Genomic DNA, 20,458 nt, shown 5'->3' on the forward strand with positions numbered 1-20,458 from the left:
AGCCACAAACAATGGGAAATCTGTTTTTTCCCCCTGAAATACACTGAAATCCCTTGGTGGATGCGCATTGGGTAGATAGATGAACAACATCTTGTAGTCAGTATTTGGGGCAGCATTTCACCATGTGGAGTTGTTTTGCTTCAGGGAACACACTTCCCCCAGTGGTGGATCTGCCTCCTCAGCGCATTACAGAGTCACAGCTACTCAAGATCTTGAGGGAATCAGGGGATGGAGCAGCCCTAGCCCCCTGCTGGAGGGAGGGGTGAGTGGGCACAGCCTGGGGAGGGAAAGTGGCTTGACTGGGGTTCTGGGCTGGTGGGGTGAGGCTGGATTTCAGGCTTGTCTTTCCTAGTCCTTGACTCAGTACTTGCTCTTACACTGTGACGAGTTCTGCCCTTGCGGAGATGCTACGCACAACTGATGAGGAATTCTCAGAATCGTTTGGGGCCCATCTGGACTGTGACTCAAGCATACCCTTTGGAAAGCCTGGTGTTATGGACTGCATATGTGTCCCCCCAAAATGTGTAAGCCTTAATCCCCAATGCAAGGGTCTTTGCAGGTGGGGTCTTTGGGAGGTAATTAGGTCATGAGGGTGGAGTCCTCATGAATGAGATTAGCGTCCTCATGAGACGAGGCGTGAGTGAGATCATCTCTTTCTCTCCCTCTCCCTTTTGCTCCCTCTCACTACCATGTGGGGCCACAACAAGAAGTCAGCAGTCTAAAAGCTGAAAAGAGGACCCTCTCTAGGAACAGGATCTACCAGCATCTTGACGGTGGGCTTCCAGCCTCCAGAACTGTGCGAAATCAACCTCTGCTGTTTAAGCCTCCCAGGCTCTGGTGTTTCGTGAACTGACTAAGACCTAGTAAAAAGTTGGGGTGCGATGCAATGAGCAGAGTCCTTGCCTTGGCCAGCCTGGCTCCCACCAGGCCAGGCAGGCATCCACACTTCCACCCATTCATCCTTACAGAGGGACTGTTTATCTCAGTAGCCTCAGTGTTCTAGGCCCTGGGGATGCGGCAGTGACCAAAACAGACAAAACTCCCAGCCCTCAGGGAGATGAGCGCCATTAGAGGAAGACAGGACGGTAGGAAAACTCAATGTCCTCGTTGTGTTGGTAACAGAAGGTGGTGAGTGTAGTGGGGAAAAATGCAGCAGAGAAGTCTGGGAATGTAGTGGGGCCCCGGGCCCTCACTGACTTGGATCCTACCTCTCCCTGGCTCGGGCCTCCTTGGTTACCGCATGGTCTGTCCCTTATGCATGGGAGCCTTTTCTGGCATGTAATCCCTGCACAGGGATGTTCAAGATGGTGTTCTGGGAAAAGGGTGAGCAGACAGTGGCAATGACAGGAAGGGAAGAGTTTCTGGGGCTGTCTCATCAGTGCTGCTGGGCACAGACGGAGAGTTGGGAGGACAGGGGGTCAGTGCTGGGCTTCCTCACAGGAGAATGTCCTGGAGGGTGTCACTCACAGACTCCTCAGCCTTCAGGAAAGGTCCTCCTGCCTGGGCTCCTCTGCATGCATCAGATGGAAGGAATCCCTTTCTCTGGCAGGTGCAGGCTCAGAGGCACAAGCTGGGGCTTGGGCTCTGTGGCTGGCTGGTGGTGGTCCTGCATCGCGCCCCTGCCACGGGGCAGTGATGCTGAGTCCTCCCTGCTCCTCAGGGTTTCCTGGAAAGCTGCAACCTCGTTGCAACAAAGGCTGGATGCCAGTTTCACCCACCACTAACTTTGTCACCTCCATCCTCAATTATCTACCAACAGGAAATCCTGCCTTCCTCCCCTGTTGCTGGGGCCTGGCACGAGGTGGTCCATTCTCTGGCTCACTCATTCTGTAGGGGCTGAGCATCTCTGATGTGCCATCTCTGAGCAGGCAAGCTTCTGCACTGCATGTGCCAGGCATGCTGGAGCCTGTGGGCTGTGGCCTGCCATCCTCATTTGCACTGGAGAGATGAGTGGGAGGGGTAGGGGCTCTGGGAGGGCACCAAGGGGAGGTGGCTCAAGAGTCCCTGCAAATCAGATAGGCTTCAGATGGGAAAAGGAGGACAGAAGCCATTCTAGGCAGGGGCTGCCCCGTGAGTGCTTGAAGAGTGGAGGCACCACAGGGAGAGGTACAGAGACCTGTGGCCACAGCGGACGCTGGATGTGGCTGCAGAGATGCTGGTGGGCCAGGCCATGCAGGCTGATGGGAGGAGAGAAGAGAGTTCTTTCCAGGACAGCTGGGGATATCTCTTCATTATTCTTTTGCTCAAAATAGAATTATCTTTTGAAATCAGATTTGACAGGCAGCCTAGGCACTTTGCCTGCGCTGTCTGGAGGAACTGGCTTTCTCGCCTACAGATACTTTTTTCCCTTCCAAAGGAAGAAGGAGTAGCATTCTGCTGGTTTTAGAGAAAGTGGGAGTGAGGAGGGAGAAGTGCAAGCCATGGATTTAGAAGGGTGAGGCAGGGCAGAGTGCAGTGGAGGAGGCTGGAGTGAAAGCCAAGTGTGGCCTGAAGCCAGTGCAATTCCCCGTTAGAAACGCAGAACCCATATTGCTGGTGGGTGGGCTAGGGGCTCACTTCCATAACAGTGGGCACTGTGCTCACAGCACCCTGCCTCTGGGACCTCCCCCGGGCAGGTGAGCGGGACATGCAGGGTTGGTGGCCCCCTAGGAGTCTCTGGGATGCAGTCCCACAGAGTAGGGCCCTGGCTGACAAGACGGTCTGGCCCAAGCCCCTGATTCTCAGCAGGAACAGGCATCTGCTGCTGTGAACTCTGGGAGAAGAAAGAAAAGTGGGGTGAAAGGAGGAGATGTGGGGGTGGGGGGCCAGGGGGAGCAAGGGAATGAGGGGTACTCAGAGATAACAAGAGAGGGGCCAAGAAGCCAGAGAGCAGGGCCAGGACCTGGCTCGGCCACTGCCACCCTTTGTTTCCCCACCTGGAAGAGTGGGTTGTGCAGACCCTTTCTGCCTGGCTTGGGTAGTTGTCAGAGCTAGGGGCGGGCCCCGTGCTGCATGGCGCCCTCTGCAGCTCTCTGTCCCTCTGCCTTCCTTTAAGCCACCTGTCCCTGTCTGCTCTACCCCCTGGGCTGGGTCTCATTGCATCTGCTCTACCCCCAATTTTCCCTTGTACCTGTCTCAAGACCTGGCCCACAGTGCACACATAATACCTGTGCAGTGAATGGTTGAATGGATCAACAGGACTGAAAAATCTTTGGGGAAACCTTTAACAAAAGGCAGGAAGAGGATTCTTTTCAAACACGGAGAATTGAACATTGGCACGTCCTGTCTCCTGTCAAAATGTCATTTAAGTAACAGTACAGGAGTTAAAAAGGTATAAACTCAGAAGCACAAAGAGAGCAGGAAGGACACATATTAGACAAGAGAATATACCCAAAGGAATGTAAATCATTCTACCATAAAGACACACGGATGTATACGTTCATTGCAGCACTATTCACAATAGCAAAGACATGAAATCAACCTAAATGCCCATCAACTGCAGACTGGATAAAGAAAATGTAGTACATATACACCACGGAATACTACACAGCCGTAAGAAAGAGCAAGATCTTGTCCTTTGTGGAAACAATGAATTTAGAGGCCATTGTTCTGAGTGAACTAATGGAGGACCAGAACACCAAACACTGCATGTTCACATTTATAAGTCGGAGCTAAACATTGACATTGAGTAGATACAGACACAAAGAAGAGGCCAGTGGACAATGGGGCCTGCTTCTTGGGTGGAGAATGGGAGGAGGGTGAGAATTGAAAAACCACCTATTGAGTACTATGCTTATTACTTGGGTGATGAAATAACCTGCACAGCAACCCCCCACGACACACTATTTACCCATATAACCAACCCACGCATGTACCCCTGAACCTACAATATAAGTTAAAAAAAGTTCAGAAAATGTTGAAAACCTGAAAGTGGAAGATAAATAGTAAACGACTTTGCAAACCTGAGAAAGCTGAAAGCTAATAATCTATGAATTGATACAAAATCCAGAAAGACTCAAGAATTGAACATGCCAGGTCCCAGAGGAGAGGGATTGGGGCGGGCCTGGAAACTGGAGAAGTGGACAATAGCTTTCAAGGAAAATCCACTCAGATTCAAGCCCTGAAAATGAACCTGGCCTGACTGGCTCCGTAGCCTGTGTTTGTGCCTCTCCTACCCACAGGGACAGGCTGGGATTTCTGAGCCCTGTGCAGGCTCAGGAGGAAAGGCAGATTCTGGGGAAGAAGCCCCCAGCAACAGGAGCAATCCCAGCTGCAGAGCCAGGCTCCTGTCGTCAGGCCTGGCCCATGTCCTGCCAGTCAGCGCATGGCTGGAGGACCGCACAACTAGCTGTGACGGTGGCTGCCTTCTTTCCATTTCTACTCCAGCAAGCTGGCCCCAGGAACAGCTGCGTGGGAGGTAAATGGAAACTTTGAGGAGAAAGCCCAGTGGTCACCCAGGGCTGGCGATGCTCCTGCCTTTAAGGTGTCCTGGGCACCCGAGCAGCTGTGGGCTACGGCTTATACTTTCCCTAACTGCGGGTGGCTTTATTGGAATGTGAGACACAGGCCATTAACCTTTTACCCCAGTCATGCAGCTAATCACCAGAGCATTTCACCACCTCAGCCGTGGCTGCAAAACACTAAGCTGATTATGGGAAAGTGCAGAACACGAATGCTCTTGTGGAATTTTCAGTAGAGATAAGCATTTGCTGAGATTGAATGTGATGTGAACTCAGCGCCCTCTCCATCTTACTGTGACCTGAAGCCCAATGAGCCGGTCCCTGGGTGGACCCTGTCCCTGGGTGGACCCTGCCCCTCAGTGGCCCCTTCCAGGAAGGCCTTTGGTCTTCATGCACTCAGTCAGCTGTGGCTGGTACCTGTCCTCCTCAGGCATCATCTCAGGTAAGACAAGGTGTGGGACCTGGGGCTGGCAGAAACAAGAACCCCTGGTGCTGGAATGGCCGGCGGTGAAGGTTCTCCAGAGCTTATCCCACTGCGGCAGCTCAGAAAGATGAAGCAGCTCTCCCGTTGTGTCCTCCCAGCACACAAACCTGCTGTCAGTGACTCCAAGGCCCAGGAGGAGCTCCAAAAACCACACACTGGAGAAGATCTGTCATGGCCAAGTCCCACAGGGACTCCGGGCTGACAACCAGACCTGGCCCTGGGTTCTGACAGGGGCTTTTGGCATGCCCCATGGGACCCCCACAGAAGACCGTAGGACCTGACAGCAACTCCACATTTCCAGAAGGAAGAAAACAGGATCTTGGGTGTTGGTGGTGGGTCCCAGGAATCTCCTCTCAGTGAAGCCATTTCGTTCTTCCAGGGGCTGAGATCCAAACCCAGAGCCTTTTGGCCTTCCTCTTCCCTCACTCCCCATCAGCATACACAGCCAGGACTGGGCCTCTGCTCCCTCTGGCCTTCCCCACTCACCCCTGGGCCAACCGTCCGCTTCTCGCCTGGATGACTTTGGGGCCTCCCACCTGTCAGATTATACCTGTTACACCTGAGTCACATCAGTCCCACCTGTGCTCAAACTCCCCACGGCCCCCAGCCCTCCTTTTTTAGCCTTTTCCTGCTTGTTTTCCCCATTGCACTTGTTCGTAGCTGGCCTGGCTTGTATTTCCCGGTTCATTTGCATTTTGAGTCCACCCCACTGCAAGGTGAACATGTGAACAGCATTTTGTTTGCTTTGTCAACAGCTATATCCTCAGTGCCTACAGTGTCCCCAGCAGGGAGCTCTGCTGAGCATGTTGATGCAGCGACACAGCCAGAGCTCCAGGCAGAGACCCCATGGGTGGTGGTGTGCACTCGGCGGCACCTGTGAGGTCACCTATGATGGCAGCCATGCAGTCCAGACCGTGGGAGCTCCACGGCCCAGCCCCGCACACAGCCAGTAATGGCAGCCCTAGCTCCTTACCACCCACCATGCACCTTTTAGATTCAAGCATGGGCTCAGGTTCCTTGGCCTCAATGTTCTCATCTATTAAATGGGATGATGACACACCTTCCTCAGTAATAGTAATGCAGATGGACAGATCTCCAAATTGGATGGGACAGCGGGACCAGCACACCTCTGACCCCAAGTGTCACTGCCCTGTGGGGTTTCTCTTTTGGATCCTGCGTGTGCACTTCCCTGAGCCCTGGACCGCTTAGTGCTCTGGTTCACAAGTATCCCCGATGTCTCCATTCCTGAATTCGGCGGAGGCAGGGTGGGATGTGCAAAATCAGCTTCCTGCAGGCACTTCTCTGACCTCATATGACCTTCCCAGCACAGCTGTTGGGAAAGTAAGAGTGCAAAGGGCTGGCATCTCCGTCTTGTGCCCCGTGAGGCCGCTTGGTCTTTCCCACTTTCGACCTTCAGAGGACCAGGGAACAGCTGGTGTCAGGGGACTCCTCCCTCAGCCCTTGGCATGCTGAGGGGCTGGGATACAAGCCCGCACTGCCCTCCTGGGAGCTGGGCTGCCTTCTTTTCCCTACTGATGGTGAGGCAGAGCTGCAGCTGCTTTTCAGGAGACCACTCAGGGCATGTAGGCATCTGACCTTTCCTGCAGTGACTTCCTTCCCATCACTCAGCAGCACTTGCAGGCTGCCCTGTCTCGGAGAGGAGGAAATGAAGGTGGAGAGCTCTGAGGCCTGAGCCTCTGCTGACACAGCCTGGCAGGAAGAATCTGGAGGGTTTGCAGCATGGGTACTTGCCCGGGAAGGGCCCGGCAGGCTCCACCTCCTTGGTCACCTATGGGCAGGACCACTAGGGACCCTCCTTACGGTGCGGCACCACTGGGTGGTGGGACACCTTACACCCCGACAAAGTGAGTGTGACTGGGACGGCCTTCTCTAAGAGGGGCTGTCGCCTTTTCACCCATGTTGGAAGAGACCCCCTGCTCTGTTCTTGGGACAAATGCAGCCCTGTTCTCTGAGCTTGATGGCCTGGGTTTTGTGCAGGCTGCACTGGGATCATGCAGCTGTGACAAGAGGGACCTTTTAGCTCCCTGGTCCAGAGTCAGAGGGTCCTGACTGGAATGCCGCTGGACGGGGCAGCCACTGGGTGATGCAGGCAGACAGGCCCTTCCTGTGCCAGTGGTTAAATGTCCTTCTATGGTCAGCCCCGACCCATGGACTCTGCTCCTATAGCCTGCCCAGGAGCAGGCTTCTGAGGATTCAAAGCATCCCAGACGCATTTATTCTAGAAAGGGTGGAGAAGAGCTAAAGGGGCAGGTCTGGGGTAGGGTGGGCCCAGGCCAGGGAGCCCTGAGCAGCCCCAAGGAATCAGGAGGCAGGGAGGGCGTGGAACTGGGCTCCAGACCAGGCTTGTCAGGGCTCGGCTCCCAGGGCGCCTTCTCCAGCCTTGCAACCTGCTGCTATGGTGCTCCTGCTCCAGTTCCTTTGACAACCACTTATTGACCTCCCACTGGGCCCTAGGTGAGCCTAGTCATTGAGGGAGATGGAGCCGGGGTCGTGCTATGCAGGGGAGGCTGTGCTGGAAGATGCAGTGGCAGGTCTCAGCCCAGCCTCAGGGAGCTCCAGTGGAAGCAGGTCAAGGAGGCCTCCTGGAGACACTGACCCTGGCCAGCCCAGAGCGCCGGCAGCAGTGGTGCAGGCCCAGGAGAGGAGGCAGGGTGAGGCCCAGAAGTGCAACCTGTGTGTGTGTCAGCAATGTTGGGCAACAAGGTAGGGCGGCGTGGAGTTGGGAGATGAGACACGTCGCACAGGGGCCTGGGTAGTGTGTTAAAGAGCTTAAACTTTCTCTTGCAGATGGGGGGCAGAGAGGAACTTCAAGCTGGGGAGTGATATGGTCAGATTTGGATTTGACAACTGAAGGAGTGTGGATTGCAGGGAGGTTGGCTGGAGGCATGGAAACTGAGAAGGAGATGGGGCAGCCAGCTTAGCAAAGTGAACAGTGGCCCAGCAATGGGGAGGGAGTAACCAGGGGGGTGGAGAGCTACTTGGGAGGCACTCAGGGCTGGGGTGTTGTCCTTGATTATACATGGAGGACAGGCCAAAGGGAGTAGTCCTTTGCAGCAGCTGTGGGAATAGAGGACATTAGAAGCCACCTAGCTGAGCCATCCTGAAGGAGTCTTCCCTCGGTGGAGCCCAGGATAGCCACGTGGGGTGGCCAGAGGCTCTGGGGCCTGCCGGCTTAGAGCATCCTTGAGCTATAAGCCTGGAAGGCAAAGTGCTTAAATATTTATTGCAAACAGAAATTGATGTTGGAGAACTAAATTTTCAAAAAGGAAGTTGAAAGGAAAGGGAGGGTGGGAACTCTGAATCCCAATTTGTAGCATGCGGCCTCTGCATATTTCATTAACTCCTCAGAGTGTGGCAGCCCAGATGTTCAGGATGTGAGGAGGTTCTGCTATTCACACTCCAGTGCTCTGCCCCTGCAGCAGCTCATTATTCTGGGGTTGTGTGAGGAAGGTCAGATGAAAGGATGCTCGAAAAAGGAAGAGTGAATAAAATTGTGATGGACAGGGGAGGACTTGTGTCAAGGTGCTGAAGGAATAATAAGAATGAGAAGCGAGTTTAGAATTGAAATGAAAACCAGGAAAAGGCAGCAGGGTGTTTAGAAAGAGCACTGACTTTGAATTAAGCCAGACCTCATCCATTTACCAGCTCTGAGAACTTGAGGAAATTTCTTGATATCTCTGGATTTTACAAGGTACACCATCATCACCATCAACACTACCACCACTATCATTATCACCACCTTTATAATCACTATCATTACCATCATCCCATCATCATCACCATCATCACATCACCATCACCATCACTGTCATTATTACCATCTCCATAATCATTATCATCACCACCATTGCTATCATCACCATCACCATCACTGTCATTATCATCATCTCCATTATCATTATCATCACGACCATCACTATCACCACCATCACCATCACTGTCATTATCACCATCTCCATAATTGTTATCACCACCATCACTATCATCACCATCACCATCACTGTCATTATCACCATCTCCATAATCATTATCATCACCACCATCACTATCATCACCATCACCATCACTGTCATTATCACCATCTCCATAATCATTATCATCACCACCATCACTATCATCACAATCACCATCACTGTCATTATCATCTCCATAATCATTATCATCACCACCATCACTATCATCACCATCACCATCACTGTCATTATCACCATCTCCATAATCGTTATCATCACGACCATCACTATCATCACAATCACCATCACTGTCATTATCATCTCCATAATCATTATCATCACCACCATCACTATCATCACCATCACCATCACTGTCATTATCACCATCTCCATAAGCATGGTCATCACCATCATCATCACCATCACTATTATTGTCACCATCACCATCACTATTATCATCACCATTATCACATCACCATCATCATCACTATAACCACCATCACCATCACTGTCATTATCACCATCTCCATAATTGTTATCACCATCATCACATCATCATCACCATCACTATCACCACCATCACCATCAGTGTCATTATCATCATCTCCATAATCATTATTGTCACCATGTTCACATCATCACATCATCATCACCATCACTATCACCATCACTATCGTTATCGCCATCTCCGTAATTATTATCATCACCATCATCGTTCCCATCACCTATCATTACCTCATTACATCATCATCATTATCATAATGCTCATCACCTCATCATCACCCTGATCATTGTTGTCACTATCATCATTATTATCATTTTCATCATGTTGAAAACTTACTATGTGCCTGACATATGAATCAATCTATTCCTCAAAACAACTGTGTCATTATAGACTATTATCATGCCCATTTCACAGTTGAGGAAACTGACGCATAACAAATTAGGCCCAAGTTGACCAAGAGCCAGTAAATGGCAGAGTGCTTCTGCCTGTCAGTGCAGGCATCTCCGGGATTGAGGGTCATTGTGAACATTAAGTGCATGTGCACCCAGGGATGCTTGTAAATTGCTGGCTGGAAGCAGGTCTTATTACGTGGAAATTCTTGCTGCCTATGCTTTTGTTGTTGAACAGCAGCTGTGTTCTGGTCTTGTCAAGGGGTGGTGCAAGTCATGTTCAGGTTTGTGAAGCATGAACAAAGTCCAAAGACATTTTTCAGACCCTCGTACGTGCTGGGCAATGTGCAGGTAGACACCGGGCTGTGAGGCGCTTGAACCCAACACCAAGAATCATGTCCTCATGGCTCTGCAGCGAGGTCCAGGAGATGCTTCATCTGCTGGGGCAGGTGGAGACTCCTGCCTGCTACCCAGTGAGCCATGGCCTGGTGGCTGCTATCTCACCTCCATGGGACAAGAGCTTGAGCTTGGTCAGCAACTACAGCAGTGCCAGCAGAGGCCGAGGGCCTGGCGGCTTCCGCTTAGGTGCCCAGTTGGGTGTTCAGCAGCCATGCCCAGGCTCTACATTGATCAGCAGAAATGGCTTTAATCAGAGAATTGGTCTTTGACATTTTGAGAGCACCTGGCTAATGGATTTGAGTACATTTTGATTACTTTAATAAAGCACCCTTGACAGAATGCATTTTAAGGGCAGAAGGAAGGAGGGAGGGCCCTTGCAATTATTCCACCCCACTGCATAATTTATTTCGTATGCTATAGAGTCACCTCTGGTATTTGGAAGTCTTCTATTGTGCTTTTGGCAAGGGGAAAACAGGCAGAAAAGGGAGACTTTTTTCTTATTGGGTTAAGTAGTCTTATCCACCTCATTAAAGGGGCCCACATTTATTATCAAAAACCCAAGACAGAGTCTCACTTCCCAAAGTTTAACCATTTGTTAATATTTTATGAATGGATTCTTCCATTTATAAAACATTATAAATATGTTCCCTTCTTAACATTTTTATTAAAAAAAGAAAGAGGAGAAATGGCAGCAATATAGGATTAAGAAGTGTTTGGGGGAAGAAGGAGCCCTCAGGGAGGCATGGGAGGGTGTGAGCTGTCATGCAGACAGGGTTGTTTTGTGGTCTTATAAATGTGGATGAAAGCCCCGCCTTGTCTGTAACTTTGACAACTACAGAGTTTCTGTGTCTCAGTCTCTTATCTTTAGTGTGGAGACCAGTGTCTGGCTCTAGGGCTTGTGTGAGGTGAAGGGAGACCTGCTAGTGGAAGCCCTGCAGATGCTCCAGTGAGCGTGCAGTACTCGCTCAGTCCCTTCCCTCCCCCTTTCTGCCTCTGCCGAGCCACAGCTGCACAGCTGCAAGAGGCCTGGATGCTCTGGACCACACAGAGAGACATATTGTTCACATGGTGGTACCTAGAATCAATTAATTGCCCAGCATGGGTGCATGTTCCATACATGTGCATGCATGCTCATGAGGACGCACACACACACACCTGCAAAGTTGTCCACACGCAACTTTAGTGTGTATGGGGTGTATGAAGATGCACATGGGCACATGTCTGTGAGGATGCACAGACGCTCATGAGAATGCACACATGCACATGCCTGTGAGGATGCACATACACGCTCATGAGAATGCACACGTGCACATGCCATGAGGATGCACCCACATGCTCTTGAGAATGCACACACGAGCACATGCCTTTGAGGATACACATGCACAAGTGCCCCTGAGGATGTGCAAGTGCGCGTGTGTGCGCGCGCACACACACACACACACACACAAGGATAAGGGGTGGTGCTGTAGATGCAGCTAAGGAGGGCCAGAGTACCCTGCAAACCAGGCCAGGAAGCATCCCCGAGGCAGCGAGCCCGTCCAGTGTGTGCACACCCTCGCTGCTGTGGGAGCTCTTTGCCATGGCCTCCAGACCCTCCGCTCGGCCTACTTTCCTGTGGGAGCTTTTGAGGAGGGGAAGCTCCACCACCGTCGGTCCCCCTGGGGGAAACCAGAGGCAGTACTGCAGACCAAGGAGGGGACTCTCGCTGCCACCGGGTGAGTAGGGGGCTGAGGCAGCAGCTCTCTGCCCGTCTGAGGCTGTCCACCTTGGCAAGCATGGTCAGCTGCAAAGGCCCTGCAAAGCTCCGAGACAGCAGGTGTGACCCTAGGGACCATCCATGTGGATGGGCTGAGTGTCACTGTTCGGAGGGACACTTGGAATAAAATGATCCTGGCACTTGGAGGGTCCACAGAAGGGTGTGTTCCAGGCTCAGTGTCTGGCTCCCAGGGGCCCTGGACTCTGGGCTTCCAGACTCAAAGAGAAAACCTGAGGCCTGAGTGTGCCAGGCACGTTCTTATCTGTCTGCAGGGCCCGTCTGAGAGGGTGGCAGTGCCAGCACTCCCTCTGGGATGTGACTGGGAGACACACTCATCCCTGGCGTTCATTCATTCATTCTATAGGTATTTTCTGAAGACCCCTCCTTGCCAGCACTGTGTGATGGGCTAGGGGGCAAGGGAGTGTGGAGGGGACAGGAGTCCCTCCATGTTCCTCCCCTTGGCCCCAGGCTGGCTGGGGCCACTGTGACCAAGAGAGATCAGTGGGCAGAAAGCCGGGCAGTACGGAGGACTTGGAGCATGGCGGGGGGAGTAAGATGGAGCTGATTGGCCCCACGCCCTGGTGCCACAGGGCTCTGCCCACCCTGCCCTGCCAGACTCACTCCTGACATGTCTCACTGAACTCAGTGGGTTCTGATGTTCCAACACCACTATCCTCTCACAGCAGCGAGGCTGAGGCCCAGGGAGCCGAGGGCCTTGTCTTGTGCCCATCCTGGAGCTGGTGTTGGGATAGGGTAATTCTCCCTCCACCTTAGGCATCAAATGTGAGGAAAGTGAAGATTTAAAATGCAAGAAATTAAAAAATCAAGACGTGGATTAAAAGGTGAGCTGTGGAGAGGGTGGCATGCCTGTGTCAGGGGCTTCTGGGCTGCTGGGAACATGGGGATTGCTGTGGGGGCGGAATGGCCCCTGGCTGTGAGCTCCGCATGTGGGCGTTGGCAGTCCTGGCTGCAGGTTCCAAAGTTCTATTGGTGTGAGTGTGTGAGTATGAGAGTGAGCACACACACCCCACTGTCCACACACCTGGCTCTGTACACACCACAGGTCCACTGCCACCACAGGCCCCTGCCCTCCTGGGTGGGCTGAGTGTGCCTGGGAACCGGGAGAAGTGGGTGAGTGTCCGCCTAACTCCAGGACCTGCCTCTGGCCTCAGAAGACAAGGCGGCAGGTGGGTGGGTGGGGTCAGGGTTCGAAGCCCAGCCTCCACAGGTACTGCCTCCCCAGGTGCGCTCACCTCAGTCGGTTTCCGGAACAGGGAGAGGGACGTTGGCGGAAAGGAGGTCCCGGGACTGTTTTACATGTGTCGTCATGCAGGTGGAACTGCTAGGTTGCCATTCACAGACCGAGACACAGATGTAGACTGTACCCAATGCCTGCCCTGTGGCCGTCATGGCTAGCACGTTGCTGAGCTTCCCAGGCCCCACAGTGAGGAGCCAAAGCCCAGAAGAGCCAAGTGCCTGGCCTGCCACAGCGGAGGAGGCCCAGGGCTGGTTTGGTCTGCCTGGGACCTTGCTGCGGAGCCTGTCTGGGCTGAGGATGCAGCCACACAGCAGGGTTGGAAGCCAACCTGTCAGCAAGCTTTAGGAATGGGAGGTTGGGCAGCTTTTATTAACTGGAATCACTGTGTCCAATTTTGGAAGAAAGAAAACAACCACCACCCATCATCTGCTTGTGTTGTCTCCCAGTGATCCTCACCGGGCTGACGCAGACAGCCCTGAGGCCTGAGCATCTCACGCAGACTGGCTGTACAGTCTGAGGGACCCAGGGCAAAATGAAAAAGCGGGGACCTTTGTTCAAGAACTTTCCAACTTCAAGATGGTGACAGCACAGCCTGGAACCACCTGTGGGCCCTTCTGAGCACACGGTCCTGGGTGACTGCATGGTCTCCCATTGTGACATCAGCCCTGACCTTCCCATTTCCTCTGTGTCTTCCTGCTTGTGACACGTGGTGCACAGAGCAGCTGGCCTGCACACCCCAGGGCCGGGCTACAGCGCCTGCCTTTGGCATGCAGCCGTCCGCCCATGTTCAGGCCCTTGTGGCTGGTCTAGCTCAACCTGTGGGTGAAACTTGGTGTGAGGATTTCAGAGACAGCCTTTCAGGAGGGCTCCTGACCCCAGTGATTCTGGGGGACCAGGGGTAGTCCCCGGAGCCGGGGAGGGTGAGGGAACAGGAAAGGACTGCCCGCTAGGATGTACGTGGCTATTATGTTAACCTCGCTGAGCCTCAGTGTCCTTGCCTGGGCCAGGCCACAGCCCCCTCTCTCAGGGTGGTTCAGACACCCGATGTCTGGACAGCCACATTCCCGCTTGTCCACCGCCCAGCCCAGGGCTCTGCACACACGGTGGGCAGCAGGTACCCCTCTTCTCTCTCCCTGGATGAGAAATAGCTTGGATCAGATGTGACAGGAAAGTAGGTAGACTAAAATAAATCAAAAGGAACTTGGTTTTGAGGGTTTGGGGGACACTCAAGGCAGGATTATGGCTGCATCTCAGATCCAGCCCAGCAGGACCATGATGGCCTCTTCCCTCACCCTTCTTTTTGTTCCTGCACAGGCTCCTTCCTGCTCTGGTCCTCACAAGAGACATGGCAGGCAGCACCTGAGAGTCACCCCTCACAGCCCAGGCACCCAGGGAGGCTGGCCCAGGTCCCAGGCCAGAGCCCAAGGAAGGCACCTGGGGCCCAGCTGGGGTGAGGGACGGAGGTCCCAGGGAGGGTGCTGGTGGATTCTCCAAAGGGAGGCCTCTTCTGCCCTGTCCATTCAGAGACACCAAATACATGCGTTGTTTTGGTCTGCATTCCAAATCTCTGTTTGAAGGACATTTGGAAACTCTGAAAAAGTATAAAGGGAAAGTAGAAATCATTCAGAGATAACCTCTGTTACATCCTGATGAATCTCCTTCCTTTCTTTGTAAACAATCAGTCTCTCTCTTTTTTTTTTAGACAGAGTCTCACTCTGTCACCAGGCTGGAGTGCAGTGGCGTGATCTCAGATCACTGCAATCTCCGCCTCCCAGGTTCAAGCAATTCTCCTGCCTCAGCTCCCGAGTAGCTGGGATTTCAGGTGCGTGCCACCACAACCAGCTATTTTTTTTTTTATTTTTTAGTAGAGACGGGGTCTCACCATGTTGGCCAGGATGGTCTCGATCTCCTGACTTTGTGATCCGCCCACCTAGGCCTCCCAAAGTGCTGGGATTACAGGCGAGAGCCACCGCGCCCTGCCAAGAATCAGTCTTTTAAGACAAGTACAGTTTGGACCTCCTTATGCCTGGGTTCCGCATCTATGGATTCAACCAAACGCGGACAAAAAATATTAGGAAAGAGCAATGAAAATAACTATACAACAATAAAATAATACAAATAAAAATTCAATAGAACAACCATTTACATAGCAGTTCCATTGCATCTGGTATTACAAGTAATCTAGACATGATTTAAAGTACTTGGAAGGATAGGTGTAGATTATATGGAAATACTATGCCATTTTGTATCAGAGACTTGGAAATCCCTGGATTTTGGTATCCTCGGGGGTCCCAGGTCCTATCCTTGTGGATACTGAGGGATGTCTGTGGTGTTATTTCCCCAGCTGAGGAGAAAAGGAATTACCACATGCTGAAAGAAGGTGCCCAACCTAGCACGTCCTGAGCATAGGCCGTGCCATCCTCTGCCCACCCGCAGGAGGTGGCCAGCGTAGGGACCAGGAGTTCCTGCCAGTGTGGACCCCACTCCAGCACCAGCTATGAGCGCTTGGGCAGCTTATCTAACCTCTCTATGCCTCAGTTTCTTCACCTGAATGGGGGTATTAACAGTTCTTGCCTCCCAGAACTATGATTAGGGCCAGGGAAGTTAGTACTGTACCTTCTTTGCTAGACTTGGGCCTGGATCATAGTGCATACTTACTTGGTGGATGGTGGCGATTGTACGGTTGTGCCAGGTGCAGGTGTCCATCGGGGTCAGTGTCCCCTGGCTGCTGTTGAGGATGTGTGCACCGCTGCCCCTTCTCCAGGAATGCTGGAGCAAGCACTGCCATGCCTGGGAGGTTACGCCCCTGCCTCTGGAGCAGCACACACCCACCTGCTGTCTGCTGATCCCAGAGAACAGCTTCCCACCCAGGAGAGACCAACCGTTCAGAGCAGTCTGTGCTCCAGCCCAGAGTCTCCCAAGGCCTGGCGGGTGGTGACTGGCTTCACCTGAGCTCACACCTTGCTGGGCTCTTCCCTACCTGTGCTGCTTCTGCTCTGTCTCATGGTACTTCCTGAAAAGCTCACTGTCAATACACCTTGGGCCTGCAGATCTTAGCCCCGGGCTCTGCTTCTAGGGAATCCATCTAAGAGGGCTGTATTAATTTTCTATCACTGTTGTGACAAATTGTTGCCAACCTGAAACGAAACAGCACAGATTTACTCTCCCACCGTCCTGGGGCCAGAGGGCTGAAACAAGGCTCAGCGGACGCAAAGGAGTCGGCAGGGCTGGTTTCCTCCAGGGCTTGAGGGGAGCGTTCCTTGGCTTTCTCGGTTCCAGAGGCCACCCTCATTCCTAGGCTCTGGGTCTCGGGAGTCCCGGGTACACTTGGATGAAGAGAATGTGTGCTGGGGAGGCCTTTCTCAGCCCTGCGGGACACACGTCAGGCCCCATAGGCCCTTCCAAGGAATGGGGGCTGGGCCCTCTGGCGAGTGTAGCCAGGCTTTCCTGGTGAGTGTGCATGCCTTCAGGTGTGGAATGGCTTTCCTGGTGAGTGTGCACGCCCTCAGGTGTGGCCAGGCTTTCCTGGTGAGTGTGCATGCCCTCAGGTGTGGAATGGCTTTCCTGGTGAGTGTGCACGCTCTCAGGTGTGGCCAGGCTTTCCTGGTGAGTGTGCACGCCCTCAGGTGTGGCCAGGCTTTCCTGGTGAGTGTGCATGCCCTCAGGTGTGGCCAGGCTTTCCTGGTGAGTGTGCATGCCCTCAGGTGTGGCCAGGCTTTCCTGGTGAGTGTGCACGCCCTCAGGTGTGGAAAGCTGCTGGTTCTTGACAGCTCCCTCCATCTTCAATGTAGATCCCTTCAACCTCTGCTTCTGTCCTGCATCTCCTCTGGCTCCTCTGTGCCCCTCTGATGAGGACCCTTATGATTATATTGGGTTATTTCCATAAGCCCAGTAATTCCGCCATCCAAGATCCTTGACTGTATCACACCTGCAGAGTCCCTTTCGCCATGGAAGGTGACATTCTTAGGTTCTGTGGTCCTAGTCTCAGATTAGGATGTGGATATCTTTGAGGTCATTCTGCAGACTCCTACCAAAGTTGCTGTGAAAATCCTGCTTCTCCCAGGCAGGCACAGCCAGATCTCTCTTCCCGAGCGGGGACAGCATGGGAGTCCAGGAGTGGCAGGGGCTGCCAGACCTGGGGCAGGAGTTCAGGTGGGATGGCTGGGGCTGCACCCACCCTCTTCCTCCGCGACAGCAAATGCCAAGTCAGACCTGCCCCTCTTCTGCCCCAACCCTCCAGCAGCTCCCACTTCTCTTGGAACCCCAGGCCCAGGCTTGCACCTGCTTTGACCACATTGGCCCCTTGTTTTCTGAACATGCTGAGCCCGGGGCCTTTGCACTCATTGCTCCCTCTGCCCGGACAGCCTTCCCCAGACACACTGTATACTCCTTTCCAGGATCAGCTCAAGTTTACATGGTCCAGGTCCTCCCTGGCCAGCCTCTCTGAACAAGCCTTCCCACCCCAGTCTTGAACGCCTACTAACTGCTTTGTTTTTCTTCTTGACAGTTCATTGCAACTGACAAGTATTTATTTGGGTATTTGCTTTGCTTCTGTCTCATCCCAGGAGAATATATGCTGCTGATGGCAGAAACTTTATACCTCCAGGGCCTAAAACAGTGCAAGTCTTGGTAAACATCAAATGCATGCCTGAATGAATGAATGAAGGAATGAATGCCACAGACTTCTGGAAAAGCTCCTAAAACGTGAGGTCCAATATCAGCCAATTTGGATAAGAGGTTCTGGGCTGGAATTCCTGGTTCAGGTTGTTGGGCAATCTCCCTCTTTGCCTCTCTCGAGCTCGCAGTTTGCTGGGCACGGTGCACGTGGCTGAGGCTCCTTCTGAAATTGACCGAAGTGTGCAGGAAGTGAGGGCTGTGGCCACCCACCCAGGGCGAGGGAATGGGCTTTTGAAACCCGGCCTCATCAGCACGTCTACTGCACCACTCCCTCCTCAGGCATACTGAGCTTGCTTATGATGTTGGGACCCAAAGGGAAAAAGGCAGTCTGTAAATAAGCTCTCTCAGACTTAAAATTAAATTCTACATTTTCCTGAGCTCATGGGAATTGACACTGCCATTAGTCTGTAATTTGTTTCTCAAAATTCTTCTATTTTAAGAAATTAAGCAGGAGGAGCAGAGGGTGGAAAATGAGCGGGAGGGAGAGGGACTGGGGGAAATGAGGACACCCCAAAGCCAGACAGACTGGGGGGCGGGGATGCGCTGTGGGGGCGGGGGAGGTGAGAGACAGCCCGAAGCCTGCGCCTGCGTGTTCTGTTCCTTCTCCTCCCATGGTTGCCGCAGCGATTTCTCAGCTGAGAATACCTTTGCCTGCCAGTCTGTGTGGAGGCCTGGCAAAGCCCGGGCACTTACAGCGGCACTGGGGAGAGGACTTTTCTCAGCCAGGCATGGAGTCTCAGGTCACTCTGGCACGCCCCGGTGGTGCAGAGCAGTCATCCCTGGCCCCGAGGGCACCAAGTCCAGGAGCTTGGCACAGCTCAGCCCTTTCCACTCAGAGCCCTGCCTAAAAACAAGCAGTGCTCTGGGTCTCGGGAGTCCCGGGTGCACTCGGGTGCATGGGAATGCGTGCTGGGGAGGCCTTTCCCAGCCCAGCAGGGGGCACGTCCTGTCTCACAGGCCCTCCCAAGGAACGGTGGGGCGGGGCCCTCGGGCGAGTGTGGCCAGGCTTTCCTGGTGAGTGTGCACACCCTCAGGTGTGGAAAACTGCTGGTTCTTGACAGCTCCTATATTCTGCACTGGAAACAGACCTGCTAATCCCAGTTAATCTTATTTCCACGAATAAGGATGATAAGGGGCAGTTGGAGCTGGTGCCTGCTTATGAATTGACAATACATTCCCGACTGATGGAGGAGGCAAGGAATGAGCCCTGAGTGTTATATTTGGGCAAATGGCTGTCTCGCGGGAGATCAGCCAGTGCAAAGGCCCTGAGGCTTGTCTGAGGAGCGGTGAGGAAGCCAGAATGAAGTCCCGGGGAGGGAGCAGGAGAAGTACAGGCCTTATAGGCAGCCTGGGGACTTGGGCCTTACTCTGAGAGAGATGGCAACTCCCGTGTGTAGATCCAGCAGGGTGCTGGTCTGGCCTGCCTTATAGAATGATCACTCTGGCCATTGTGGTGCGGGAGATGCTCTGTGTGGAGGGTGGAAGCATGGAAATGCGTTCGGAGGCGGAAGATGAGGGCGGGTGTGGACCAGCTGGCAGCAGGACAGTGCTGAAGAAGGGGTTGGATCTGGGTATATGGTATTGGAAGGGCAGAGCCCCCAGCTTTGCTGATGGAGGAATGAGTGTGGACCACAGAGCTTCCGTGGAGGCAGGAGGTGGCAGAGCGCTGCGAGGCGGCTGTTCCAGGGCATGGGGGTAGTAGTGGCAATGCAAGTCCTGCCTGCCCCAGTTGCCAAGAGTGAGTGGGGAGACAGGAGGGTATGCCTGCTGCTGGGAGACCATGCCAAGCCGCCCTGTTTTCAGTTCTCATGTCTAGGTTGACAGAGCCACCTGGGAGCTTGAAGCCTCACCTGTTGAGGATTTAGGAGCTCAGAGCTCTAAGACCTGCTCTCCTTGTTGCTGTTCTCAGTTCCTCCATCTGGCCCCTTGCAGTCTCAGACCAAGTCCCGGAGCCTTCCTGGTCACTCTTTTGCGGTAAGCAGGTTGCTCAGGCTGGACTCAGGGGCGCTGAGGACACTGGCTCTCCCCTGCACCTCCTCGGCTTGACCTGTCTGCACCCAGGCCTAGATCTGTCTGCACCCAGGCCTAGATCTGTCTGCACCCAGGCCTAGATCTGTCTGCACCCAGGGCTAAAGCTCCTGTGATGTTGGTGCACAGGTCCATTCGTAAGTTGAGAACAAATGCGTGGCCTTTGCCTCCCCTGGACACTTCCAGTTCTATGCTGGGATGGTTCTCCCTTCTCTGTGGCCCCCACTGGGCCCTCTGCAGGTCAGTGGCAGGAGAGCTCGGGTGCTAGGCAGGCAGAGCCCCCTTTCACTCTGATAATTGCTCAGATCACACCACACTCTTCTTGACCTTCTTGCACCTTTGGACCGTGCCTTTCTTCTAATTTTTTTTTCATAGCCTCTGGTGCTATTTTTTTTTTTTTTGAGATGGAGTCTCACTCTATTGCCCAGGCTGGAGTGCAGTGGCACAATCTCAGCTCACTGCAACCTCTGCCTCCTGGGTTCAAGCGATTCTCCTGCCTCAGCCTCCCAAGTAGCTGGGATTACAGGCGCCTGCCACCATGCCCGGCTA

At 53.3% G+C, this 20,458-nt stretch overlaps 2 long non-coding RNA genes across 2 annotated transcripts in view, besides 4 other annotated features; both read left to right on the forward strand.

Moving 5' to 3' along the window:
• LOC105373611 (uncharacterized) overlaps positions 1-20,458 on the forward strand; it is a 241,632-nt gene that overhangs the window by 187,021 nt on the left and 34,153 nt on the right. The window lies entirely within an intron of this gene.
• Positions 2,453-2,953: an enhancer, noted in NCBI's record as "H3K4me1 hESC enhancer chr2:129349650-129350150 (GRCh37/hg19 assembly coordinates)". NCBI's record gives its function as "activates a minimal SCP1, AML or CMV promoter by ChIP-STARR-seq in naive H9 embryonic stem cells {active_cell/tissue: H9 hESC(naive)}" and the evidence as "EXISTENCE:reporter gene assay evidence [ECO:0000049][PMID:30033119]".
• Positions 2,954-3,454: an enhancer, noted in NCBI's record as "H3K4me1 hESC enhancer chr2:129350151-129350651 (GRCh37/hg19 assembly coordinates)". NCBI's record gives its function as "activates a minimal SCP1, AML or CMV promoter by ChIP-STARR-seq in naive H9 embryonic stem cells {active_cell/tissue: H9 hESC(naive)}" and the evidence as "EXISTENCE:reporter gene assay evidence [ECO:0000049][PMID:30033119]".
• Positions 11,157-11,657: an enhancer, noted in NCBI's record as "H3K4me1 hESC enhancer chr2:129358354-129358854 (GRCh37/hg19 assembly coordinates)". NCBI's record gives its function as "activates a minimal SCP1, AML or CMV promoter by ChIP-STARR-seq in primed H9 embryonic stem cells {active_cell/tissue: H9 hESC(primed)}" and the evidence as "EXISTENCE:reporter gene assay evidence [ECO:0000049][PMID:30033119]".
• Positions 11,658-12,158: an enhancer, noted in NCBI's record as "H3K4me1 hESC enhancer chr2:129358855-129359355 (GRCh37/hg19 assembly coordinates)". NCBI's record gives its function as "activates a minimal SCP1, AML or CMV promoter by ChIP-STARR-seq in primed H9 embryonic stem cells {active_cell/tissue: H9 hESC(primed)}" and the evidence as "EXISTENCE:reporter gene assay evidence [ECO:0000049][PMID:30033119]".
• Positions 14,992-15,345, forward strand: LOC124907887 (uncharacterized). Its single transcript, XR_007087232.1, has 2 exons — positions 14,992-15,026; positions 15,139-15,345. It is a non-coding gene; the product is annotated as an uncharacterized LOC124907887 (long non-coding RNA).

This window comes from Homo sapiens, chromosome 2, assembly GCF_000001405.40.
Source record: "Homo sapiens chromosome 2, GRCh38.p14 Primary Assembly".
NCBI lineage: Eukaryota > Metazoa > Chordata > Mammalia > Primates > Hominidae > Homo > Homo sapiens.